The sequence below is a fragment of the Homo sapiens genome, chromosome 1 (assembly GCF_000001405.40).
Source record: "Homo sapiens chromosome 1, GRCh38.p14 Primary Assembly".
Taxonomy (NCBI): Eukaryota; Metazoa; Chordata; class Mammalia; order Primates; family Hominidae; genus Homo; species Homo sapiens.
Window position 1 is genome coordinate 51503231 of NC_000001.11, and position 27529 is coordinate 51530759.

At 40.1% G+C, this 27529-nt stretch overlaps 2 protein-coding genes and 1 long non-coding RNA gene across 13 annotated transcripts in view, besides 5 other annotated features; 2 read left to right on the forward strand and 1 right to left on the reverse strand.

Annotated features, from left to right (window-relative positions):
- EPS15 (epidermal growth factor receptor pathway substrate 15) overlaps nt 1-16036 on the reverse strand; it is a 165004-nt gene extending 148968 nt beyond the window's left edge. For all 6 annotated transcript variants that reach the window (XM_017000618.3, NM_001410796.1, XM_017000617.3 and 3 more), the window contains exon 1: nt 15969-16036. In XM_017000618.3, coding sequence (XP_016856107.1) covers nt 15969-16001 — 33 coding nt within the window. In that variant the 5' untranslated portion in view covers nt 16002-16036. The remainder of the gene's footprint in view (nt 1-15968) is intronic.
- Nucleotides 1792-1851: an enhancer, noted in NCBI's record as "active region_1024". NCBI's record gives its function as "activates an Ori minimal core promoter by ATAC-STARR-seq in GM12878 lymphoblastoid cells {active_cell/tissue: GM12878}" and the evidence as "EXISTENCE:reporter gene assay evidence [ECO:0000049][PMID:35858748]".
- Nucleotides 15042-27529, forward strand: part of OSBPL9 (oxysterol binding protein like 9) — a 270948-nt gene continuing 258460 nt past the window's right edge. For all 4 annotated transcript variants that reach the window (NM_001416294.1, NM_001416293.1, NM_001416292.1 and 1 more), the window contains exon 1: nt 15042-15216. The gene's annotated coding sequence lies outside the window, so the exon portion shown is untranslated. The remainder of the gene's footprint in view (nt 15217-27529) is intronic.
- The window catches only part of EPS15-AS1 (EPS15 antisense RNA 1), a 61039-nt gene continuing 48551 nt past the window's right edge, over nt 15042-27529 (forward strand). For all 3 annotated transcript variants that reach the window (NR_183651.1, NR_183652.1, NR_183653.1), the window contains exon 1: nt 15042-15216. This is a non-coding gene — a long non-coding RNA (EPS15 antisense RNA 1). The remainder of the gene's footprint in view (nt 15217-27529) is intronic.
- Nucleotides 15291-16219: an enhancer, noted in NCBI's record as "H3K27ac hESC enhancer chr1:51984193-51985121 (GRCh37/hg19 assembly coordinates)". NCBI's record gives its function as "activates a minimal SCP1, AML or CMV promoter by ChIP-STARR-seq in primed H9 embryonic stem cells {active_cell/tissue: H9 hESC(primed)}" and the evidence as "EXISTENCE:reporter gene assay evidence [ECO:0000049][PMID:30033119]".
- Nucleotides 15291-16259: a biological region, named in NCBI's record as "H3K27ac hESC enhancer GRCh37_chr1:51984193-51985121".
- Nucleotides 15450-15919: a silencer, noted in NCBI's record as "silent region_877". NCBI's record gives its function as "represses an Ori minimal core promoter by ATAC-STARR-seq in GM12878 lymphoblastoid cells {active_cell/tissue: GM12878}" and the evidence as "EXISTENCE:reporter gene assay evidence [ECO:0000049][PMID:35858748]".
- Nucleotides 16070-16259: a silencer, noted in NCBI's record as "silent region_878". NCBI's record gives its function as "represses an Ori minimal core promoter by ATAC-STARR-seq in GM12878 lymphoblastoid cells {active_cell/tissue: GM12878}" and the evidence as "EXISTENCE:reporter gene assay evidence [ECO:0000049][PMID:35858748]".

The following is a 27529-nucleotide window of genomic DNA, read 5'->3' on the forward strand; positions in this document are numbered from 1 at the left end:
GCAATTTATATGAGAATTCCAACTGACTGTTTTGTAGAAACTGGCAAGCTGATTCTGAAATTCAGATAGAATTGCAAGGAATCCGGAATAGCCGAAACAATCTTGAAAGAAAAAAGCAAAGTAGGCTGGGCGCGGTGGGTCATGCCTGTAATCCCAGCACTTTGGGAGGCTGAGGCGGGTGGATTACCTAAAGTCGGGAGTTTGAGACCAGCCTAGCCAACATGGTCTACTCTACTAAACATCTCTACTAAAAATACAAAAATTAACCAGGAATGGTGGCATGCGCCTGTAATCCCAGTTACTCAGGAGGCTGAGGCAGGAGAATCGCTTGAACCCAGGAGGCAGAGGTTGCAATGAGCCGAGTTTGCACCACAGCACTCCAGCCTGAGCAACAGAAGTGAACAACAACAAAAAATAAAAAATAAAAAAGCAAAGTTAGAGGACTAACACATCCCAATTTCAAAATGTATTACAAAACAACAATACTCAAGACAGTGTTGTACTGCACAGGACATATAGATCAATGGAACAGAATTAAGTCAGAACTAAATCATACATCTATGGTTAACTGATTATTGACAAGAGTGCCAAGATCATTCAATGTGGAAAGAATAGCCTTTTCAACAAATGATGCTGGAATACCATGTCACAAGCAAAAGATATCCACTAGCAAAAAAATGAAGTTGGACCTTTACCTCACACCATATATAAAAATCAACTTGAAATAGATCAAGGACCTAGATATAATAGCTAAAACTATAAAACTCTTAAAAGAAAACACAGGGATAAATCTTCATGACCTTAGATTTGCCAAAAGACTCAGCTATGTCACCAAAAGCACAAGCAACAAAAGAAAAATATATATAAATTAGACTTTATAAAAATTATAAACTTCAGGCCAGGCAAGGTGGCTTATGTCAGCCTGTAATCCCAGCACTCTGGGAGGCGAAAGCGAGCATGTTGCCCAGGAGTTCAAGACCAGCCTGGGCAACATGGTGAAACCCCATCTCTACAAAAAATATAAAAACAATTAGCTGGGCAAGGTGGCGTGCACTTGTAGTCCCAGCTACTGGGGAGGCTGAGGTGGGAGGATCACTTGAGCCCTGGAGGTCGAGGTTGCAATGAACTGTGATTGTACCACTGCACTCCAGCCTGGGCAACAGAGCAAGACCCTGTCTGAAAACAAAATAAATTAAAATTAAATTAAAAACTTCAAAGTACTTCAAAGAACACCATCAAGAAAATAATCCATGAAATGGGAGAAAATATATGCAAACCACGTATCTAATAAGGACTTCTATCTAGAATACATAAAGAATTCTTACAACTCAATAATAAAAAGACAACTCAATTTTAAAACAGGCAAAGAATATAAATAGACATTTCTCTAAAGAAGACATACAAATGGCTAATAAGCACATAAAAAGATGCTTGACATCATTAATCATCAGAGAAATGAAAATCGAAAACACAATGAGATACTAAAAAAAGTAAGCCAAAATCAAAGAATCAGCTAATAACAATTACTGGAGAGGATGTGGAGAAATCCTCATCCCGGTACACTGCTGGTACAAATATAAATGGTGCAGCTGCTCTAAAACAGTCAGCAGCCGAGCGTGGTGGCTCACACCTATAATCCCAGTGCTTTGGGCGGCCGAAGCGGGTGGATCACTTGAGGCCAAGAGTTTGAGACCAGCCCAGACAACATGGTAAAACCCTGTCTCTACTAAAAATACAAAAATTAGCCGGGTGTGGTGGTATATACCTGTAGTCCCAGCTACTCGGGAGGGTGAGGCAGGAGAATCGCTTAACCGAGGAGGCAGAGGTTGCAGTGAGCCATGATTGCGCCACTGCACTCCAGCCTGGGTGAAAGAGTGAGACTGTGTCTCAAAAAAAAAAAAATCTGCAGCTCTTCAAATGATTAAACACAGAATTTCCACATGACCAGATATGTGCCCAGGAGAAGTGAAAACATATATTTACACAAAACCTTGTATATGAATGCTTATAAAAGCATTATTCATAACAGCCAAAAGGTGGAAACCACCCAAATATCCACCAATGAACAAATGGAAAAACAAAATGTGGTATAACCATACGATGGAATATTTTTCAACCAAAAAAAGGAATGAATTACTGATACTTGCTGCAACATAGATAAACCACAAAAAGTGATAGAAGGCAGTCATAAGAGTATATGTATTATATTATTCCATTCATACAAAGTCCAGAATAACAAACTCTATAGAGACAGAAAGTAGATTAATAGTTGCTTAGGCTGGGGGAAGCATGCAATATGGGAGGGTGATAGCTGAGGGGTACAAGTTTCTTTCTGAGGTGATAAAATTGTTCTAAAATTGATGTTTGCACGTATCTGTGAAGAGACTAAAAACCACTGAATTGTACACTTTATAGGGTAAGTTGTATGGTATGTGAATTACATCTCAATTAAACTGTTTAAAAAGTAAAAAATAAAAATTTTAGAAAAGAACAATGGAGCATAAAGCTACAAAAAAAGTCTCTTAATAAAAGTAAACAATGTTTAAATATTTTATTTTATTTTTATTTATTTATTTATTTTTTGAGATGGAGTCTCTGTCATCCAGGCTGGAGTGCAATGGCGCAATCTTGGCTCACTACAATTTATTTATTTATTTATTTGTTGGTTTGTTTTGAGATGGAGTCTTGCTCTGTCACCCAGGCTGGATTACAATGGCGCAATCTTGGCTCACTACAACCTCTGCCTCCTAGGTTCAAGCAATTCTCCTGCCTTGGCCTCCCGAGTAGCTAGAATTACAGGTGCCTGCCACCACACCCGGCTGATTTTTGTATTTTTAGCAGAGGCGGAGTTTCACCACTTTGGCCAGGCTGGTCTCAAACTCCTGACCTCAGGTGATCCTCCCACCTCAGCCTCCGAAAGTGCTGGGATTACAGGCGTCAGCCACCGTGCCCAGCCAACAATGTTTAAATATTTTATACATTAACTACCTCCACAGCTTTTTGGAATTGGTAGATGGCTCATATTTTTAAATGCAGGTATATCTTTTTAACTTATTATTAATTTGGACATATGAAGTATTTTAAAGCTAGGACTAGAAATCAACTCAGTAGATTTACAATTTGCAGAATTACACTTTCCTAACTGGCCTCATAATCAAAGAAAAACTATAAGCAGTACCTTAAAAAATTCCATTTTTGAATATTTTAAATATTTATCAAACAGACATAAGTGCTCATGTCAATTATACATTTAAAAACAGATTGCAAAGTTTATGAGGGTTTTTTTGGTGAATTTTACAGTGAAATAAGTCTTGTCCACTTTAACTTATGAATACTGGTACTCTTAAAATTCCTGTCCTAAGGAAGAAATTAGTCATAAAAAGCTCTGAGGGTATAAAGCAGAAAACGTGCCAAGCAGAGAGACAAACCAGGACATTTCAAGCAAGTATGGCTCAAAGTAGAGTCAAGAGAGTTAAGGTTTTGAGCTATTCTGAAGTGCCAGATGGTCCAGAATCCACCCCCAGATCTTACAAGGCGCCGCATAAAAGTGTGCCAGAAAAAAAAAAAAAAACAGAACAGAACAGAATGTAGAGAACAAACTAAGAATGTAGAGAACAAACTAAGAATGAAAGCAATACAGACTGCAGAGAAGGGTGAAAACTGTATATACAAACTGAAATATTTCAATCTTCTTCAAGCTCACAACTTTTAATGCCAATTTCCTATGCTAAGTGAACTCTGACAAACTATAAATGGCCCTTGCAACCAAATTAAATATGCTCGGTTTAATCCCTTCAGAATAGCATTTTTCAGATTATTGCTCGAGTTAACCCTTGCTGCTGTCTGCTTTACCATTCAAGATCTTAAAATATAAACTAAAAATTCACTCATTTGATTTCAAAACTCAAATGTATACATAGAAAAATAATTCAATAATATAATAAGTACCACATATAACTCTACAGAAAAAAATTTATCAAATGGTAGAGCAAAGGTTATTTGCAACAGCATAAATTATAGTGGACATATATAAAATATCTGTACACATTAGGGCTTAAACTATAAAGCACACAATCAATTAATATGCTCCAAAGACATTAAAAAGATGCTAAGCAGACCACATAGGAAAACACTTAAAGAAAACAGAATAGGCCAGGTGCAGTGGCTCACACCTGTAATCCCAGCACTTTGGGAGGCTGAGGCGGGTAGATCACAAGATCAGGAGTTCAAGACTAGCCTGGCCAACATGGTGAAACCCCATCTCTACCAAAAATACAAAAATTGGGCAGGTATGGTGGCACACACCTGTAATCCCAGCTACTTGGGATACTGAGGCAGGAGAACTGCTTGAACCTGGGAGATGGAAGTTGCAGTGGGCTGAGATCACGTCACTGTACTCCAGTCTGGGTGACAGAGGAAGACTCCATCTCAGAAAAAAAAAAAGGAGAACAGAATAAAAAATGTTACATACATATATATACACACATATATATGTGTGTGTGTGTATGAAAGAGAGATAATAACTACATTTGGAAAAAAAAGAAACGATGTAAAAGACTAAAATTTAAAGAATGGTGTGGATGGTGATCTATCTTCTACTTTTCGACATGCATGTTCCAAGTTTTCTTTAGTGAGTGAAGAATACTGGAAATGAAAAAACATTTAGGCCCAACGCGGTGGCTCACGCCTGTATTTCCAGCACTTTGGGAGGCCGAGGCAGGTGGATCACGAGGTCAGAAGATCGAGACCATCCTGGCCAACATGGTGAAAGCCCTCTCTACTAAAAATACAAAATACAAAAATTGGCTGGGCATGGTGGTGTGCACCTGTAGTCCCAGCTACTCAGGAGGCTGAGGCAGGAGAATTGCTTGAACCCGAGAGGTGGAGGTTGCAGTGAGCTGAGATCGCACCATTGCACTCCAGCCTGGCAACAGAGCAAGACTCAGTCACAAAAAGAGAAAAGAAAAGAAAAGAAAAGAAAAGAAAAGAAAAGAAAAGAAAAGAAAAGAAAGAGAGAAAGAGAGAGAGAGAGAGAGAGAGAGAAAGAGAGAAAGAGAGAAAGAGAGAGAGAGAAAGAGAGAAAGAGAGAAAGAGAGAAAGAGAAAGAGAGAAAGAAAGAAAGAAAGAAAGAAAGAAAGAAAGAAAGAAAGAAAGAGAAAATTTAAACAAATACATATAAATTCTGCAGGTAAGTATTAATAATAATACAAGCAATTCTATTTATCAAATGTCTCCTATATCTCAACAATGTGTATACATCATACATAAGCAAATGAAAGGGTTTAAGTAATTTGCCATGATCACTCAGAGATGTCACAAATGGCAGAGCTACAATTCAATCCAGGTTTGTCTTGTACTATATCCAGTGTTCTTCCCACTACGTAAAACTTCTCTCAGTGTCCCTGGGATGAGAATCTTGACACTCTGTTAAAATATATATATAAAATATTTTACCTACTGTTTTGGAGTAGATCACAGATCTTTTGAAGTCTATCCTTGAGTCCCCTTCCTATGCTCTATGGTCAAAGTTAAAAATTCTTCCTTTATTACAAAAAAAAGATAAAACAAGGAATCTCATAAGAAAATTGATGTTATATCCCACAATATGAACTCTATGCACCAAAATACAATTTAACTTGAATCAAATGTTCCTATAGATTTATGTTATCCTTTCAAGTACAGTTTAAATATCCTCTACAGTAACAACCCTGGATCCTATAAAACCATTAAATAATTAAAAACTATATTACCACCAAAAGTTTCATCATAATCACAGTATTCTCTCATGGCACCCCCTTGCCTTACTTCTATCATCCTTTATCACAGTACTTGTCACACAAGAAAGTCAGTGTTTATCTCCCTAAAAAACCAAAAGCTACTTCAGAGCAAATGTCATGGTCTTATTCTGTATGTCCAAGGCTTACTAGAGTAGTGACACACAGGAGGCATCTAGTAAATGTTTTCTGAAACAGAGGATCAACCATCAATACTGGAAGCACCTTTAATGCATATAATTTCATATTTTTTATATATGCATAATGCTATATCTATGTTGTACCTACAGAACAAAAGATGGAATGAAGTTATCAATAATCCTTAGTATAAATGATCCATCAAAATTCTAATTAAGTGCAACATTTCATAAAAATTAATGGCTCATATAACTAAAATCTATCAATTTACCTAAGACATTCTAACTTCAGAGCCCAAGATCTCTCTCATTATTTTATGCTAGTTCTCAAAAATGTTCATCTGAGGATCAGAAATCATTACAGCTAATGGTTCCAGGTTTTAGTCAATAAAAGTCTATTTTATAGGGAGTCTCTGATACATTTTATCTTTAGCAATACAATACTGTAGAAACTCCAAGTCCAAATAACCATGTCTGAGAGAATATTAGCTTAAAAGTAAATATTGGTATGATGTACACTAACCTAGACAAGCTTAGATTTTCATGAGCAATAAATCTGGAGGTTGCAAAATGAAAAACTACCTTCTACTATGTCTACAAAAACTTTCCACTATAACTTCGTGCAACAATCACTTTCTAGAGATGTGGTGTATGCAATGATAAGTTGATTTTCACATAGGAAGATGTAGTAGCCTACAACATATGTTCAGCTATAACCAAGGAATGGTACCACAATAAGCTCTGTCAGAGCCATTTTGCCCTTAAAAATGCAGACTCATTCAATCAATATCCGAGTTGCTTAGACTACTGGGTTACAATTCTGGCTCTACCACTTAGCAGCAGTTTGACCTTGAACAAATTACTTCACCTCTGTGTCCCAGTTTTTTATTTTGTTTTGTTTTTGTAAAACAGGGATATAAGGATTACCAAGTTGTAAAGAATACTGAAAGGTTCATCAGGTTGTAAAGATTATTGAAAATAGCACATGACACGTAAGTGTGCTCAGTAAGTATTATTGTTATTATCCCACTATTGACCTCCTCCCCAATACACACAAACACACGCACACACACACCACTGGATAATTTCTTTTACATAACAATAGAGGAATGTAAGATCACATGAATGTTCATTCTTATCCCAAAATTTGACTGAAATATCATCAATGACTATAGGAAGCAGCATAGCAAATGTACTTGGAGAACAGATGTGCCTGGGTTCAAGTCTCAACTCTCCCACTTAAAATACAACCGTGAGCAAGTAATACAGAAGATTAATGCCTACTTGTAGAAAGGCTATGAAGATTAAGTGAAATAATGTATGTAGATCATCTAAAAGTATTTAGTATTTATTAGGTGTTCTAGAAGCATCAGTCCTCTTCCTTCTCAACAGTGGCATAAGAATGTTTTCCTTCCAGGATCTCTGTATTGATACTTAGCCCACTAGATAGAACTGTTCCACAACTAAAAGAAGACCACACTAAGTTTCCAAACTACAGTGGAGCCGGAAGAGGGAGGAGATCACACTAAAAAAGGCACAGAAATCACACATAAAATTAAGTTCACAATTTCAGGTTGCCTTCTCATTTAAGTTTTTTAAGCTCAATATTTATGCACAAGGAGTCAATCATGGCTCATGGCAGGCTTAAGAATAAAAATATGAAGATAAACTCTTTCCCCTGTCCTCACCCCTAGAAAGTATATCTTGTATGTCCTAATGGACCACAGAAAGTATGTATCTAGGCCGGGCACGATGGCTCACGCCTGTAATCCCAAGCAATTTGGGAGGCTGAGGAGGGAGGATCACCTGAGGTCAGGAGTTCGAGACCAGCCTGGCCAACATGGTGAAACCCCGTCTCTACTAAAAACACAAAAATTAGCCAGGTGTGGCGGTGGGCGCCTATAATCCCAGCTACTTGGGAGGCTGAGGCAGGAGAATCATTTGAACTCGGGAGGCAGAGGTTACAGTGAGCCGAGATCACACCACTGCACTCCAGCCTGAGCGACAGAGCCAGACCTCCGCCTCAAAAAATAATAATAAATAAATAAGTATATATCTAAACCAGTGATTTGGCCGGGCGCAGTGGCTCACACTATAATCTCAATACTTTGGGAGGCCAAGGCAGGAGGATCACTTGAGGTCGGGAGATAGAGACCAGCCTGGAAAACATGGTGAAATCCATCTGTACTAAAAATACAAAAAAAATTAGCCAGGCGTGGTGATGCACGCCTGTAATCCCAGCTACTCGGGAGGCTGAGGCACGAGAATTGCTTGAACCCAGGGGTGGAGGTTGCAGTGAGCCAAGATCACACCACTGCACTCCAGCCTGGACGACAGAGCGAGACTCTCTCTCAAAAGTACTAAAACTTTAAAATAAAAATAAATAAATAAACCAGTGATTCTAAACCAGAGGCAATTTAATCCTCTAGGAAATATTTGTCAGTGTCTGGAGATATTTCTGATTGCTGCAACTGGTGAAGGTGTTACGTCTAATGGATAAGGATGCTGCAAAACACCCTACAATGCACAGAACAGCCTCCCACAACAAGAAATTCTCCAGCCCAAAATCTCAAAGTGCCAAGGCTGAGAAACCATGATCTAAAAAACTATAAAGTACTGTAATATAAACGTCTTCCTCCAAAAAATATGTTCTTATCCTAGCATTCTTGGTCAAATTTGTATTCTTATTGCAGATTTAGTAAGGAATAAGCAGTTTGATTATTTCAGATGAAAAACTCCTGGTACTGTTATATTCCCATTGTAATAATCCCCAGTTTAAAGGAGGGAGGAAGTGAGGCTTACTTTTCTTTGTATATTTTTACCACATAAAAACAAGTTTTAAAAAGAGCCCAACTTTTATTTTTTAATTGCACCTCTGATTCATTTGAAAGCCTTATTTATATCACAAAAATGAGTTTCTTCTACCTCATTTCTATCCTACTTTTGCACAAAATATTCAGAAGTTCACATTTATGTGATAGGAAAGCAGAGTATATGAGGCAGGGTACAAGGCCAGCTTTTAACAAATTGGGAAACTACAGGAGTAGCTAAAGAAAATAAGTCACCAGTTCATTTTGTAATCACAACATGCTTAAGAGGTCTCAATAATACCCAAGAAGTCTCAGTAGTTTATTTCTAATATGCAAATGAGTGCACTTAAGAGGTTAAGTAATTTGCCCAAGATCACAGAACTACTCAGGGGCAGAACAGGTGTGCTCTTGCAGTTATATTAGTCTGCCTCTGCTCCTGAAGTTTAAAAATCTAGATTTTGCAGAAGCTCTAAGAGAAAAGACTGACAAATTAAACATATAAAACAAATATTTCTACATAATCAAAAAATGCCAAAAACAAAAAAAAATTCAGAGAAAAAAATTTTGCAAAGGATTTTGCAAAGAAGGGCAAATTTCCTAAATATAAGAAGAGTTCTTACAAATCAGTGAGAAAGAAGACAAACAGCCCATCAAGAGAACAGGTAAAAGACTAAAGCAGTTTATAAAAAAAGAAATACAAATGGTTTCAAAGGAAAAAAAAATAAGTTCAGCCTTACCCATAAAGAAATAACAAACTAAAACAATGAAATTGTTTGAAATCTTTCTGATTACTGGACTGACAATAATATACATGTTGATCAAGCTGTGGAGGAAATGACACTCTCAAACATGTGTGCTGCTACAGTGTTTCTGAATGTAAATGAGCAATATCTTTTTTTTTTTTTTTTTTTTTTGGAGACAGGGTCTTAGCTCTGTCACCTAGGCTGGAGTGCAGTGGTGCAATTATAGCTCACTGTAACCTGCTAATCATAGCTCACCTGTAGCCTGCTAGGACTACGGGCACACACCACCATGCCCAGCTAATTAAAAAAAATTTTTTTTTTGTCCCAGATGGATTTCACTATGTTACCCAGGCCTTGAACTCTTGGCTTCAATCAATCCTTCCGCCTCAGCCTCCCAAAGCACTGGAATTATAGGCCTGAGCCACTATGCCTACCCCAAATTAGCAGTATCTATGCAGATTAAAAGTATCCTCTGGCCCAAAAATTACACCTACTAGAAATTAATCCATATGCTCACACATGTGCACAAAAACATGTAAAAGAGTATCCACTGCAGCATAGTTGTAACAAAAGATTGAAAACAAAATAAATGTCCAGCATTAGGTGGCCAGTAAAATAAATAACAGTAAGTTCACATATAGAAATACCCTGAGGTTTTGAAAACAATAAGGGAGATCTATATGTGATGTTATAGAGCAATCTCCTAAATCAGTTAAGCTAAAAATAATATAACAACAAACTGTGAAACAATAAACAGCTTACACAAAAGAATATACATATACAGTATACATATATATTTATTCGCATATACACAGACTATTACTGGAAATTCACACAAGAAACTGGCAAGAATGGCTGCCTCTGGGAAAGCAAATGAGGGCCTAAAGCAGAAAGAAGACTTCACTAGCATTGTATGAATTTTTTTAACCATGAATTTATATTGGTTTTTTAATTTACTAACTATAAAACCTAAGTCCCAAATTCTGAGCCTCAGTATCCTCCAATTTGAAATGATGATAATAATAGCTTAGTTCATAGGTTACGCTTTGTTAAGTTATAAAGCAGCACAAAAAATTATAAATTAGTCCTCTAACTGAATTGTCCAAATCAATTAATATAATTATTATCATTCCTCTAATCAATTTCTCTAAATGTTTAGGATGAAAACTAAGTGTAGACACAATCTTAGAACACAAAGCTTTACTTTACACGTAGTTATTGTGTATTCAATTTAAATGAATAAATTCTCAAAAATGCCATAGAGAAAAGCTAAATCAGTTGATTACAGAAGGAATACATTCTCACTGTTGAAAACAAGGTAGATAAAAACTACAACCATGCTACTATAAAATTTTAGTGTTTTTTTTCTTCCAGGCTTTCTTCTACGCATGCTTAACTGGGTTAGATCATTTGTCTAAATAAAAAAAGTTCACTTTACTGTAATACAGCATTCAATTTACAAGATTCCTCAGATTATTAAAAACACCTAATAAATATAATTAATGAAGGCATACCTTGTTGATTCAACTGCTTTAAAAATGAAACTCCAGCATATGAATTTGCCTAATGAACTCTGCCTGGAGTAACTTTTCGTTTATTATTTCTACCAGTTCTCCAACTAACCAGATCTCTCTCAGGCCATTTACTTGGTTTTGGTTTCCAGAGTACTGATTTTTTTTTTAAAAACTTTTATTTTAGGTTCAAGGGTACATGTGAAGGTTTATTACATCAGTGGACTTGTGTCATAGGTATTAAGCCCAGTACCCAATAGTTATCTTTTCTGCTCCCAATTTTATTAAGCCCCAAACTCACAAACAAGTATATAAAGTGCTTTTTGTAATTCCCTAAAGAACAAGTAAAATATCTTAGATTAGGCCTTTAAAATCACACTATTAGAGATTGCAGAGATTCTGAACTATGATTCGTTGCTAATGATACTCAATCTTTTTCTATTACACGTTAGTCTGTTACTAGCATTCTGTCTGCAAATAGAGTGAAAACAAAGGAATGCACTCTTAGATTATTCCTGAGAGACTTGCTATTGGATGAACTTGTTCCTAATTAATTTTAACTATGACAACCTCTCCCAAGTGCTGAACATTTCAAGCCATCTTTGAGAAGGGTTAGATATCTCTCTCAAGAGATTTCCTGAGTATATCGAACCATAATTATAGGCAATAAAGAAAAACATCATTAATGTGCCTTTCCCATTGTAGGAACTCAAATATCTGTCATGTTGAGAACAATATCACTTTTCTGCTTCTGAGAACATGTTGTCATTTTCAAACTAACCTGTATTTACTGTCATAATTGTTAAACCAGACTACTAAGATGATATGTTTATTAGCACTTGTACTGCGTACTTGTTTAAAAAATGAAACTGAAAATAAACACTACAAACTGTGAAATTATGGGAGATGTTTTCCTCTAATTTCCAAGTTTTCTGTAATACAGTTATATCACTCTTGTAATTTAACAAAAAAAGCATTAGAACTGTTGTTATACCATTTATATACTAGGATTTTTAAAATTAAGTCCCTACTTAAGGGCTTTTTTATTACTTTAAAAAAAAAAAAGAATCTGACAACATAGTGAGTGAGTCCCTGTCTCTACAAAAAAATTTTAAAAATTAGCTGGGCATGGCGATGCACACTTGTAGTCCCAGCTACTCAGGAGGCTGAAATGGGAGGATCCCTTGAGCCCACAAGGTTGAGGATGCAGTGAGCCTGATCATGCCACTGTACTCCAACATGGGTGACAGAGTGTGATCCTGTCTCAAAACAAAACAAAAAAAAAAAAAAATTCTTGCTAAACTAAAGCAAGAAAACCAGTATAAAGCTGAATTGCTAAAAGACTATTTTAAATATTCAAATCCTATCTCAGTAAAATAAAACCTTTATCATCAATAGCACTAACTTTGAACACACAATTGTATCATCCAAGATATTATCAAAGGCACTAGAGATTCAGAGGCAAAAACCATGGCTTATATCCTCAAGAGGCTTACTACTTAAGACAATGGCATATGCCGAAAAAAAAGAACAAAAAATGTAAGGGAGCGTTGGATAGGCCAAGCATCTAGTACATAGAGAAGAACAGTGAAATAGCTTTTGAAGTCCTACAGACCTTGGTTCAAATCGTAGATTCACCACTTACTAGCTTACTTACTAGCTTCTCTAATTTGTAAAACATATCGTTAGATTCTAAGTGTAGTAAAATTCCTGGCATATAGTAATTCCCAAAGGGAAGTTAACAGTATTATTATTATTAGGGATATGGGCGTTAGGGAGTAAAACTGACTATTGGAAACTTTTTTTTTTTAAGTATTACATGCTTTTTTTCTAATCTACCAACAGAAGCAAAAATCAAGATCTTTCTCCCTCAGGTTTTACTTCTCATTGACAAGAAGTAAACAGAACACCTAGTAAAGACAACTGAATTAGAAAACATTTAAGGCTGTAAAGCACTAAAGAACCCAGAGAAAGTCCACTAGGTCTATAAATCATAGAACACTGTCTATAAAACAGGATCTTAAAAGTTGGAAAGGTCCTTAGATCAGCTAATTCAAACTCCTCTAGCAGAAATAAGTTCCAGGTTTTGTCTCCAAGGTCAAAGAATTGTTAACTATTTTTGTTCATGAGTATATATATCCTCAGTACCTAGAGTAATTCCTAGCACATACTGAATGCTCAGCAAATGTTTGTTGAGTCTCTTTTAAAGTTAAGAAAACTGAGGCCTGGATATTTAACCCAAACCCATACAGTTAGCTGTGGCCAAAGCAGAACTGGAACTAACATTTTGGTACTCTAGCATTCTATCATCTCTAGAAGCTAGACTATAATAATTTAGATAATTTATTTTGGTGGCTGGGGAGTTGAAGGGTTGGTTGGCAAGCTTGGAAAAAGGAAGGAAGGCATAAGCTAAAACATTTTTCACATTTTTTCCCCAAACTCAGTTTTGCTTAATTGGTAAAGGCAAGAAATTATAAACACGATAATCCCAGTACAATGTCTAGTACATAATAGGTACTATAAAAATATTTGCTGAATGAAAATCATCAACATATGAACAGAAGCAGAAATTAACTTGAGCATGTTTAATCTCCATAACTGTTATAGAACCCTTTAGAGCTTTCAGTCATTCCTACAACAGTTATTAATTACTTTCTTCCAGATAGGTACCATGGGAGAAAGATGGATTAAAAGATGTCCCTGCCCTGAATGAGCTCTCACTTGAGTATGCCTATGTCTAAATGTGTGTGCTGGGAGAGTGGGCAGGGTGGGGGGAACAGAGGATGACAAACGGGTCAGTAATGAATGTGAAACCAGGCTGCATTGTTATCTTAGTGTATTGGGCTCAGGCAGTTATAAAAAAATTAAATTAAATTTAAAAACCACAAATCTGCAAAGTTTTGAAGTAACAAGGAGGCACATTAGGGTATACTAGCAACTGGAAATGTTATTTTTTCGTGTGCCTTCGTAATCCCTCTTATTGCCTCTTCATGTTTTAAAATCAGAATATTCTGAATTTACTTATTTGAATTATCAATAAAAATTAACCACCAATGTATATTATCTCATATGTGAGGCACTGAAGGATAATAGCTACTACTGATTCCGTACTTACTGTGTACACATTAATACCTAAATATATAACCCAAGAACATATGTAAATTTTTTAAATGGCTATAAAACTGACAGAGCTTGAAGCAATTCTCCAGAGATGAATGATGTAAATAGAAGCTAAAAACATGGTATTACCCAGGGAGAGAATAAAGTATGCACACAACTGAGAAGCAATTTTACGGAAGTCTTTAAGAGCACAAAATCTTCAAGGGAAAACTCCTGCCAGAATTGGCCAACAGAGCCAGAAAACAACAGCCTGCCAACAGGGATCTTGTTTAATGCAAGTCACTAACTAGACTCACAGAAAGTGAATACCTAAAAGTCAGTGCTGTAGTTGTTCAAATTTGAGTTTTGGGAGGACCCTTCCAAACATACATAACCAAGACTAAACCACCACATTCCATGTTAAAGGGTTCTCTGCTTGTCAGAACAGGACAACCACCACCACCATCAAAAAAACTGGGAAATAGACTTTCCTTATGACACTTAGAATTCCTGCAAACACGGGTTAGTTATTTTACATGAAGCATGTACGTGACTCCTGGTTTCTGAGAAAACATTTTTTTCTCTCTATCCTACAGTGCTAGGCAAAGCACCCCAAAGCCTCTTGATTTTAAACACAGAAAACTCCACTGCCGAAATGTTTGCCCTATCCCAGCGCTAAAGCCTTAGAAGCACCGACGAATCTAGGCCAAGGAGTACAAGATGGCAGTGAGATACCACAATGCAGGCAAGGAAGACGGGATGGGCCCCAATCGGGAAGCACGCGCCACCAGCTCTGGAGAGAACCGTCTGAGGAGACGCGGGGGAGAGTTTGGGTCACAGGAGCAGGAAGGAACTGGCAGGTGTCTGTCACCTTATCATCCCGGACACCATGTTTACATTGTAATTGGCTTCTTTACAGAGAGGGAGGGACCAGGTTCCCAGTGTGAGTGATGTTTAGAGGTTTTCTGAGAAGCACAAGGACTGGACTTTGACAGGAAGCAACGAGGCAAGAGGGAAGCTCGAGAACAGGTTTTGCTGAGGATTCCCCCCAAGAAAAGTGCTCCCCGGGAGGCCGTTCCTGGCACCAAGACTGGCGGAGCCACCACACCCGTTAAAGGGATCCACCTGGACAGCGATCAGGCGTGAGCCCCCCGAGGGGAAGTTGAAGTGGAAGCAGACGTGGGTGGCAAAAGGCTGCATTGGGGGTCTGACCCAGAAGGAAACCTGATCAGGAGGGGGGAGAGGCTGAACGGAGGAAGGGGCCGGCAGAGTGGGTAGTTGAGTAGGATGAGACTTCTTTGGAGGCGAGGCTAACTACATTAAACTCTGGGAAGGGAGGGCTTCCGTCGGACCCTGGGAGAAAGGCAGGTCTGGAGAGGAAAGACTGGCTTGGGGGGCCTGCGCGTCCGGCTCTGGAAGGCAACTCCTACTGGGGGCGGCGCGCAGCCGGCCTGGCGGGCGAGCCTCGTGCGGCCCGGGGGTGCGGCCGGCCCGCGCGAGCTCAACAGGAGCTCACCTGGGATGCGTGCGGCCCTGTGGGAGGAAACTTCCTGGGTAGGTGAAAGCTGCCCCGCGGGAGCCGGCCCGGCACCGGCAGAGCGCGGCCGGGTCACAGTCCACTCGGCAGCGGCGCGGAGGGCGGCGAGGGCCGCGCGGGGCGGGGCAGGAGGCGCCCGACGACCCTGGGCGAGGTCGCGGCGGCCGCAGGGGGGCTCCGGCTCCGGAGGGCGCCCTCCCGCAGTCGCACCCGCTTTCCCTCACACACACCGGCCGCCCGGCCCACAAGCCAAGAAGCTGCCTGCTTGGCCCACAAGCCAAGAAGTCGGCGAAGCTGAGGGCGGTGGGGGAGGGGGCACCGGCCGGCCAAGCCCGGCGGACGGGCGTGTGGCGTTACCTGTGTCAGAGAGAGCTGGGCCGCCGCAGCCATGGTGTTTCCATCATGCAAGGGAGGGGAAGGAAGACGGGCTGACTGGGGCTCGGGGCGGGGAGGAGGCGGAGGGAGCGGCCGCAGGCGAGGCCGGGGCGGGCGGGCGGGCGTCTCCCCTAACTTCCACAACTTCCCTCCCCACGCCCGCCCCGCCCCGCCTGGCCCCGCCCGCCTGCCCGCCCGCCGGAGCCGGCCGCGGCGCCGCCCAAACCCTGGCGCCGGAGTCTCGGCCACCGGACCAGAGCCTGCCCCCGGGGCCGCCTTGGAAAACCCGGCGCGGACATAAAATTAAAGCGGACGGGCTGCGGAGGCGACTGCAGATTGACCTGTGAACTTCAGACAGGCCACCTACCTACGCTGAGCTCCTGCTTCTGAAAAATGGGGGAAATTGTAACTAGAGGCCCAGTTACTTACAAAGACTAAATGAGATAATGATAGAAAATAATAATGGCACTTTATATATGCCAGGCTCTGTACTAGACTCTTATTTTTTGAATTGTATGAATGAAGGAACTGAAACACAAATAAGTGTCTTACTAAGGTCATACAGCTAATTATATAGCTGAATTAGAATCCAAGTCTAACTGTAAATATTTAACCATCTGCTAGTATATTGGAAAAGAAGACATTAAGTCATTCCCTCCCACAGCCAAAATCCATTTGGAAAGGGGAAGCAAAAATGTATTTGCCTGGTGCCTGTCACATTTAGATTGTTTAACAAGGGAACGCTGGTGCCTGTAGCACTCCTAGCTTCTCCCATCATCCACTTAGCAAACTCCTCCTTCTTTCTCAGGACATAATTCAAGTTTCACCTCCTTTGCAAAGTATCTTTTTCTCTTCCTTATGTCAGAGTTACACACTCTCCTTTATAACCTTTCTTCTCTACCTTGTGAAGTCATCACCCTAATGACAGTTTACACCTATCTATCCCTCTAGATTAAGAGCTCCTCAATGGCAAGAACTGTTTTCAATATATTTCTATATCGTCAGACCCTAGCATTACAGTGCATGCTCAGTAAAGGCCTTCGTTCCTGCCTATATTAAACATAACACATCCTACACCTTCTGATGCTGCCAACCTTCAGTTGGAATACCCAGTTACTTGAAATTCATCTTCAAAGTCTCAGAGTATATACCACCTACTTCAAGAAGCCTTCTAGGAACTCCACACCCCACCTCTAAGTTGTTCTGATGTGACCGTTTTTATACTCTGCCTTATCTGTAAGCGTTAGTTGAGGGTTTGTCTCCACCTCACTGCACTGTAAAATCCTTGAGGACAAGGGGCTGACTCACTGCTTTATCTCCCTCATAGTTTAGCCTACCACAGAGGCCTCAATAAATGTATTTGCCCGAATTGGTCTTAATTTCTTAGTCACGATGGCTTCCCATTACAACAAACCACAACTCTATCAGGCCTACACCCATTACCATTATCATAGCAGTCCCCGTGGTAGGAGGGACAACTGAACAAGACCCAGGATGGAGTTAGCCCCACCTAAGTTTTTAGACTATTGCCTCCACAAGCAAACCATTCCAGAAATTTCCCAAGGAACTCCTAATTCTACTCAGACTCCTTCTGGCAAAGGCCAGCTAACAAGAGCAAGCCATATAGGTCTGGTGAGTAACCACTTATTCAAGAGCATCTTCCTTGGCTTCTTTTTTGCTGCTAATCTCTTTAACTGAAGAGAGAATAAGAGATACTGTTTTACATTACTTCACTTTGGTACACTTATCAGCCATAACCACAACCGGTGTTTCTACCGGTGTTTTCTACTTTATATTAGCACATTTGAGCTTCACAACTCTAAAAGGAAGTAATCGTCATACTCACTTTACAAATGAGGTAATGCAGGGTCACAGAGGCTAAGTGATTTGCCCAGGGTTATACAACTGATAGACAAAGCAGCATAGTATAGTGAAATAAATAGGACTCAGACATTAGGAATATCCAGGTTCCATTCCTGGCTCTCCCATTCACTAGTTGTATGCCCTTAGGGTTGTTGTGAGGATGAATGAGATGACATATACAAAAGTGCCTAAACTTGTAGCTACACAAATTATGAAATCTGAAAATCATGGAGCAAATCGCTTTGGGGAGTATAATTTCACTTGCTATTCAAGGGGACTCCTCCAAACCATATGAGATGTAAGATATTCCTCTCAGATGAATAAGGTGGAAACCCTGCCATGTAGTTTCCGGAAAGGCAGTGCAGAGTAGCAAAGAGAATATTAAGAATCAGAGTGTGACCGCAGGCAAACCATTTAACCTCTTTGAGCTTCAGTTTCTCATACAGGAAAAGTAAGGAATTATTACTGTTTTAACTTTTATATGATTTATATTAAGTCAAAAGCACACCTTACCCAGGCATGGTGGCACATGCCTATAGTCCCAGCTACACAGGAGACTGAGGCAGTTGCACAGAGCACGAATTCAGCCTGAGCAACATAGAGAGACCCCATCTCTAATAAATAAATAACACCTTGTATGTATACAGTATTGCTTTTCACCGTTTATAAATGTTTTTATTTTATTTTTATTTTTTTGAGACAAGGTCTCACTCTGTCACCCAGGCTGGAGTGCAACGGTGCAATCTCGGCTCACTGCAACCTCCACCTCCTGGGTTCAAGCGATTCTTGTGCCTCAGCCTCCTGAGTAGCTAGGATTACAGGCACCCGCCACCACACCAGCTAATTTTTTTTTTTCTAGTAGAGACAGGGTTTCACCGTGTTGGCCAGGCTGGTCTCGAACTCCTGACCTCAAGTGATCTGCCTGCCTCGGCTTCCCAAAGTGCTGGGATTACAGGCGTGAGCCACCGTGCCCGGCCAAATGTTTAGAAGCACAACTTCTAATGTTCAGTAAGTACATTATAAAAGTTTGTTGAATTGAACTGAATACAATCTCATATATAATTGTTATTTGGATCTTCACTTTATCCCCATAAGAAAATCAAGGAACAAATATTTTATAAATTTATTTTATAAATAGCTTCTATAAGTAAGAGCCATTGACAGCAGGCTTGGGTCTTGGTTAACAAAAAATAAAAAGAATCAGATGCCCTAGCAAGGGAAGACTTGCTTAAAATCTTTATATGGGAATTGCCCCACGTCCCCTTCCAGACCACTAGTAATTTGTAGTGGCTTCTTTCTTCATTCGTAGGTTCTGGTTTAAATTAATGACATGTAATGGGAGATGGGAGCATGTCTATAGGGAAGAGAATAATGGGCCAAATTCCCAAAAAAGGCCTAGAACTTCTGAGAGAGGTGTTTTTGTTTGTTTGTTTGTTTGTTTGTTTTAATGACAAACCAATGACAATTTGCAAATGTGTGGCCCAGATCTCGTCAGAGCACTGGGTCATATCCCAAATCTATTTTAGGAGAGGAAAAATGTAGCCAATCGAATATATGTTATAATCTAATTCATTATAACAAGAATGAGTTGCATGGAGCAGACAAGAAGAATTTATCTGTTTTTTCTAGGACAACTTAATGTCTCTGGGTCACTAAGCCTCATTTTCCTCATGATTACATTGAAGATAATAATATCTACTTTGTATGGATGGTTTAAGGATTAGAGCTCATGTATAATGGCCTATCAGAGAGACTGGCCTGGAATAGATGTTCAATAAGTAGCAGCTATAAGATACCATTCTTCAAGATCACCATTTAACTCTCTACCCTTCAGGCAACCCTCCAACAACTAAGTTGGTTTGACAGATATATTAGTTACATGAATGGGTCTGCCAGACCAGACCAGGTGGCTCACATTTGTAATTTTAGCACTCTGGAAGGCCGAGGCAGGAGGATTGCATGAGCCCAGGAGTTCAAGACCAGCCTGGGCAACATAGTGAGACCTCGTCTCTATTTTTTTAAAATCAATCAAATAAAAATAAATAAATAAATAAGAATAAGGGTGCTTTGAACAACTGACATATCCCTGTCATTGAAAAAGTAGATGTTCCCTAGGTAAACAAAGTTGTATCTGATGACTTAAATCTGAATACTAATAACCAACAATTGCTGTTTTCTTTTTTTTGTTTTATTTATTTATTTATTTTATTTGAGACAGTGTCTTGCTATGTTGCCTAGGCTGGTCTTCAACTCCTGGGCTCAAGTCATCCTCCTGCCTCAGCCTCCCAAAGTGCTGGGATTATAGGTGTGAGCCACCGCACCCAGACAAATTGCTGCTTTAATGTGCATTATTTCATTTATTCCTCAAAACAGCTCTACAAGGGTTATTTTTAATCTTTTTTTTTTAACAGAAGAAGAATTTGTCCAAATTCATAATGACAAAGCTGGGAATTATACACAATTATACACGGGTCTTCTGATTCAAATGCGCTTTTTCCTGGGGTGTGTTGCTGGTGTCCTGCAGACATTAATCACCACCCAGGAAGACTTGTTAAAATTTTGCCCTTGAACATGGGAAGCTGAAGATGAGGCTCTGGATTTACGATAGCCCTAAATCCAGGATGAGCCTAAAGAGAAGACCTTAAATCATAAACAGCTTTGTCACCAATCATCTTTCTATCCTACTCTAACTCCAACCCCCCTCCCCAACCCATCCTTAAAGGAAATCAAAACTACTTTTATTTTCTTATTTTCTAGCTTTTAGAGGCAGTTGTCATATCAACGCTTCATGAACACTGCGTGTCTGTGAAGTCAGCATCTAGAAAGTTGAGAAATGTGAAGTGATTGAAACTATGGAAAAAAAAACTGAGGAACTCTCTGAATACACAAAGGGCCAGTTTATTTGCATGAGACTTTGAGAGATGGGCTTTCCATATAGATGGTGCTAAACTGTATTTTAAAATCTTACTACAATTCTCATGGTAATCTGAAGCTCGTGCTTCTAAGCTGCTGGTTTCATAAATATAGTCCATCATTGTTCGCGTTTGCCCAGGGCAGAAAGAATATGTGAGGCAGCACAATAACAACAATTGTGCTATGCAAATAACCATCCCTGTGCCAGGGATTGAGCTATGAAAAGAACAAGCAGTAAGAGATTTGTAAATGCCATACACACGCAGGGTGTGATAGAACAGTTCAAAATTGTCATCATCACTAACTTTTCAGGGCAGTGGGATACCCTGGGAAGAAGCTGAGTTTAGGACTGGGAAGGCCCAGGTTGGTCCAGTTTTGGTCCTGCAGGTTCTTTGGTGACTTTGCAGAAGTGAGGAACTATACCAAGCCACGGTTTCCTCTCCTGTAAACTAAAAGTAATAATAATACCTACCTGCTCATGCTATTACAATGATTAAATGAAGGTTTATGTGAAAACCTGGGACACAGCAGAAACTAGATAAGCATTAGCTCCTTTTTCTTCCTACTGGAGAACATGTAGGCTTTAAGTAACCAGAACACAAAAATAGAAAATATTTTTAAAGGTTTTCAGTGGCCTTCCAAAGCCCACTTAATGGTTTTTTACATAAAATTTATTTAATCCATTAGTAATATTTATTGAGTACTATACAGTAAGAGAGATTATTATATTTATGTCCCCAAAGGCCATTGGCTTCTAGTGAGAAAGCAAACACTGTTTTGCCCTTGCCCTATTTCCTTCCTTTCCTCTCTGTCCTTTATGAAGAGTGCTGGAAGCCATAAGAAACCAAAAGGAACACCATAGGAAAGAAACCTTGCACTCATGGCTGCAGGTTCTTTCATCTGCAGGTTTCAAAGCATTTTCTCCATAGGTAATTACTAGCCCTACTTACCATGTGTGAATGCTGAGACATCATCAAATTAAGAAGCTTGCCCTAAATCACAAGGCAAGTCAGAGGATGGGCTGCAGACAGAACAAAGCTGTCCTGTTTGCCAGACTTGGGCTCTAAAGTAGGGCACATGAGTGTCAACAGAAGACTTCAAGTGATGAGGAAAAAAGTTTGAGGAATCCTGATTCTGAATCAGCGCAATAACAAGAGCATGGGCTTCAGAGTCAAATTTGATTTCAAATCCCAGCTCAGCCCCATTTGACTGGCTGCCTGACCTTCATCAAATCATAAACTAAGTCTAGTTTCCCTTTTTGTAAAATGAGGATATTCTTACTTCTAAGGGTTTTGGGGAAAGTTAAATTATGTAACTAGTGTGAGAGAGCCTGGTTCAGTATCTGTCACTTAGCAGGTGCTGATAATGTTGGTTTATGTCATTGGGAAAAGTTAATATATCTCCCCCACAAACACAAAATAACAAATAGACAACTCTTTCAGTCAAAGATTTTCAAAGCCATAATCACAGTTGTGTCTCAGTTTAAACCCATGACATCTCACATTATAGCACAAATAGAGGATGCCTTGTTCAGGCCTTCATCACTTTTCTTCCTTGATTCTGTGCTTTCTCTCATAGCCCAAGTCCAATCTACCAGAAAGTTCTGTCGGCTCGATCTCCAATATATATCCAAGATCCTAATTTCCAGGTCTGACCACTTTTCACCACCTCCACTACCATGGCCTTTCTCTTGGACCACTGCTAAAGTTTCTTAACCAACATCCCTACTTCCATGATTTTGCCTAAGTTCATTCTCCATATCATAAACTGAATGATCTATTTTTATTTATTTACATCACCCAGCTGCAGTGCAGTGGCACGATCATGGCTCACTGTAGCTTTGAACTCCTGGGCTTAAGCGATCCTCTTGCCTCAGCCTGAATGATTTTTTTTGTTCTTTTTGAGACAGCATCTCACTCTGTCACCTAGACCGGAGTGCAGTGGTCCAATTTCAGCTCACAGCAGCCTCCATCTCCCAGGCTCAGTTGATCCTCCTACCTCAGCCTCCAGAGAAACTGGGACTACAGGTTCACACCACCACACCCAGCTAATTTTTGTATTTTTTGTAGAGACAGGGTTTTGCCACATTGCCCAGGTTGGTCTTAAACTCTTGGGCTTAAGCAATCCACCTGCCTTGGCCTCCCAAAACGCTGGGATTACAGGGGTGAACAACTGCACTCTGCCTGAATGTTCTTTTTAAAACATAAACCAGATCTTATTATTTTCCTGGTTAAAACCCTACAGGGACTTCTCATCAAGCACCTGAATATGGCCTACCGTGGGTAAAGTATGTGTCAGCAAAGCCCAGAAGAGCGAGATGTCTGGTTAAATGGAGCATGGTAGAGATGAGAGAGAAAGAAACTAGCAGAGAAGGGTGGAAGGGGTGTTAGAAAATACCCAGAAGGACTCATGGCTGGACTACAAGAGGCTGAGAGAAATGTTTCTCTCTGGAGATTCTCTTTTTTGTAAAATGAGGATATTCTTACTTCTGAGGATTTCGGGGAAAGTTAAATGATGCAACTGGTGTGAGAGAACCTAGTTCAGTATCTGTCACTTAGCAGGTGGTGGTAATGTTTGTTTATGTCATTGGGGAAAGTAGCTCAAAAGAGTCCCAAAAATAGCTCAAGAGATTCACAATCAACACTGGAAGCAAAGGAGATTCTTACTGTTTTCCATTGATGGCATTTTTAAATCTAGTGGCCTGGAATTTTTAAGCACCCAATCAGGAATCTATTTTACCCTTTTTTTTTTAACTTTTATTTTTATTTTTTGAGATGGAGTCTCGCTCTGTCACCAGGCTGGAGTGCAGTGGCGCAATCTCGGCTCACTGCAACCTCTGCCTCCCAGGTTCAAGCGATTCTCATGCCTCAGCCTCCTGAGTAGCTGGGATTAGAGGCAAGCGCCACCACACCTGGCTAATTTTTTGTATTTTTAGTAGAGACGGGGTTTCACCAAGTTGGCTAGGATACTCTTGATCTCCTGACCTCGTGATCTGCCCACCTAGGCCTCCTAAAGTGCTGGGATTACAGGCATGAGCCATCGCGCCTGGCCTATTTACCCTTTTAAAAGTAAGAATTATACGCTAGGACCCCTAACATCAGGACAATGGTTAAGATGATGGACTTTGGAATCAAATTTGACATTGAATCAAGGTCCTCCACTTATAAGCTACAACACCATGGTCAAGTTATTAAAACTCTTTGACCCTCAGTTTCATGCAGACTACCATACAGAATGAGTAAAAGAATTAAATAGACAATGATTATAAAGCACTTTGCATAGTATCTGAGACATGGGGAGTAAGTGCTCAGCAAATGGGGACTATCCAATGATGATGGTGATGATGATGATGATGATGATGATGATGATGATGATGATGGTGATTAAGAATTGGGTTATCTTTTTTAAAAAATTTTTTTAGATACAGGGACTCACCCTGTTGCCCAGGATGGAGTGCAGTGGTGCAGTCATAGCTCACTGTAGACTCAAACTACTGGGCTCAGGCAGTTACCCACCTCAGCCTCCTGAGTAGCTGGGACTACAGACACATGTCCCCATACCTAGATAATGTTTTTATTTTTTATAGAGACTGGGTCTCACTATGTTGCCCAGGCTGGTCTTGAACTCCTGGACTCAAGCAATCCTCCTGTCTCAGCCTCCCAAAGTGCTGGGATTACAGATGTGAGTCACTGTGGCTGGGTGCCTGCCTGGGGTGAGATTTAAATTGGCCTTGTAAGCTAATAAAAAATGAAGTCTATTCTGAGGGCAATGTGGAGTCATTGAAAGGTTCCCAGGAAGGAAAATAAAAATCCAAAATCATGTTATAGAAAGGTAACTCAGCCGGGCACCGTGGCTCATGCCTGTAGTCCCAGCACTTTGGGAGACCGAGGCAAGCAGAGCACTTGAGGTCAGGAGTTCGAGACCAGCCTGGCCAACATGGCAAAACCCCATCTCTACTAAAAATACAAAAAAAAAAAAAAAATTAGCCAGGGGCTGTGGCACACACCTGTAGGCCCAGCTACTTGGGAGGCTGAGGCACGAGAATCTCTTGAACCTAGGAGGCAGAGGCTGCAGTAAGCCAAGATCACACCACTGAACTCTAGCCTGGGGGTGACAGAGCAAGACTCTGTCCCAAAAAAAACCAAGAAAGGTAACTCTATTCAGCATTATACTGGAGTTTCCAGCCAGAGGAATTAGGCAAGAAAAAAATAAAAAACATCCATATTGAAACAGAAGTAAAACTATATTTGCAGATGAGATGATCTTGTATATATAGAAAATCCTAAAGAAACAAACAAAAATCTATTGGAATAAATGAGTTCAGCAAAGTTGCAAGATACAACATTAATATACAAAAATCAATTGTATTTCTATACACTAGCAATGAATAATCTGAAAATGATAGCCAGGTATGGTGGCTCATGCCTGTAAGTCCCAGCGACCTGGGAGGCTGAGGCAGGAGAATTGCTTGAGCCCAGGAGGCGGAGGTTGCAGTGAGCCAAGATCCTGCCACTGCACTTCAGCCTGGGTGACAGAGTGAGACTCTGTCTCGGGGAAAAAAAAAACAAACTGAAAATGAAATTAAAAAATCAATTCCAGCCCAGCACAGTGGCTCACCTCTGTAACCCCAGCACTTTGGGAGGTCAAGTTGGGTTGATCGCTTGAGGTCAGGAGTTTGAGACCAGCCTGGGCAACATGGTGAAACCCTGTCTCTGCAAAAAAATGCAAAAATTCGCCAGGCATGGTGGAGTACACCCATAGTCCCAGCTCCTCAGGGGGCTAACGTGGGGAAATCACTTCAGCCCTCCAGGGCAGAGGTTACAGTGACCCCAGATTCCGCCACTGCACTCCAGCCTGGGAGACAGAACGAGACTGTCTCAAAAATAAAGAATAAAAAATATCAATTCCGTTTACAATAACATCAAAAAGAAAAAATAGTTAAGAATAAATTTAATAGAAGTACAAGATTTGCAAATAAAAACTACAAAATATCATTGAAAGAAAGTAAAGAAGACCTAAACAAATGGAAAGACTTCTTATGTTCATGAATTGGAAGACTTAAGATTGTTAATATGGTAATACTCCCCAAATTGATCTACTGATTCAGTGCAATCCTTATTAGAATACCAGTTAGCTTCTTTGTATAAATTGACAAGCTGATTCTAAAATTCATATGGAATTTCCAGTAACTCAGAATAGCCAAATAATCTTAACAATGAAGAACAAATTTGGAAGACTCATGCTTCCTGATTTTTTTTTTTTTTGAGACAAGAGTCTTGCTCTGTTGCCCAGGCTGGAGTGCAGTGGCACGATCTCGGTTCACTGCAAGCTCTGCCTCCCAGGTTTGCCATTCTCCTGCCTCAGCCTCCCGAGTAGCTGGGACTACAGATGCCCGCCACCATGCCTGGCTAATTTTTTGTTTTTGTATTTTTAGTAGAGACAGGGTTTCACCGTGTTAGCCAGGATGGTCTTGATCTCCTGACCTCATGATCCACCTGCCTTGGCCTCCCGAAGTGCTGGGATTACAGGCTCCTGATTTTAAACTTACTACAAAGGTATAGTAGTCAAGATAGCATGGTACTAGTATAAAGAGAGACATATAAACCAATGGAATGTAATTGAGAGTTCAAACTAACTCTATACATTAATAGTCAATTGATTTTCAGCAAGGGTATGAAGATAATTCAATGGCGGAAAGAATAGTCTTTTCAACAGATGGTACTGTTGAACTACCATATTCACATGCAACTACATATTCACATGCAAAAGGATGAAGTTGAACCCCTACGTCATACCAGATGCCAAAACTAGCTCAGAATGGATCCTTGACATAAATGTAAAACTGTAAAATTCTTAGAAGAATCTAAGAGTTGCTTAAGTATAAAACTCTGAGAAGAGGCTGGGTGCGGTGGCTCACGCCTGTAAACCCAGCACTTTGGGAGGTGGAGGTGGGTGAATCCCTAGGTCAGGAGATCGAGACCATCCTGGCTAACACGGTGAAACCCGTGTCTACTAAAAATACAGAAAAATTAGCCAGGTGTGGTGGCGGGCGCCTGTAGTCCCAGCTACTTGGGAGGCTGAGGCAGGAGAATGGCATGAACCTGGGAGGCGGAGCTTGCAGTGAGCTGAGATCGTGCCACTGCATTCCAGCCTGGGTGACAGAGTGAGACTCTGTCTCAAAAAAAAAAAAAAAAAAAAAACAAAAAAAAAAAACCTCTAAGAAGAAAACATAGATGCAAACCATCTTTATTAGAGGAGGCAATGATTTCTTAGATATAACACCAAAGCAGAGCAACAAAAGAAAAATTAGATAAACTGGATGTCATCAGAACTTCTGTACTTCGAAGGACACCATCCAGAAAGTGAAAAGACAATCCAAGGAATGGGAGAAAATATTTGCAAATCATATACCTGACAAGTGAATTCTAACTAGAATATATAAAGAACCCTTACAACTCAACAAGAAAAAGACAAATAAACCAGGCATGGTGGCTCACACCTGTAATCCCAGCACTTCGGGAGGCTGAGGCTGGAGAATACCTTGAAGCCAAGGAGTTCAAGACCAGCCTGGACAACATATCAAGACCGTCTCTTAAACAAAAAAAAAATTAGCCAGGCATAGTGAGCCCAAGAGTTTGAGGCTGCAGTGAGCTATGATTGCGTCACTGCACTCCAGCCTGGGTGACAGACTGAGACCCTGTCTGTAAAAAAAATTAAAATTATGGCCTGGCACAGTGGCTCACACCTGTAGTCCCAGTACTTTGGGA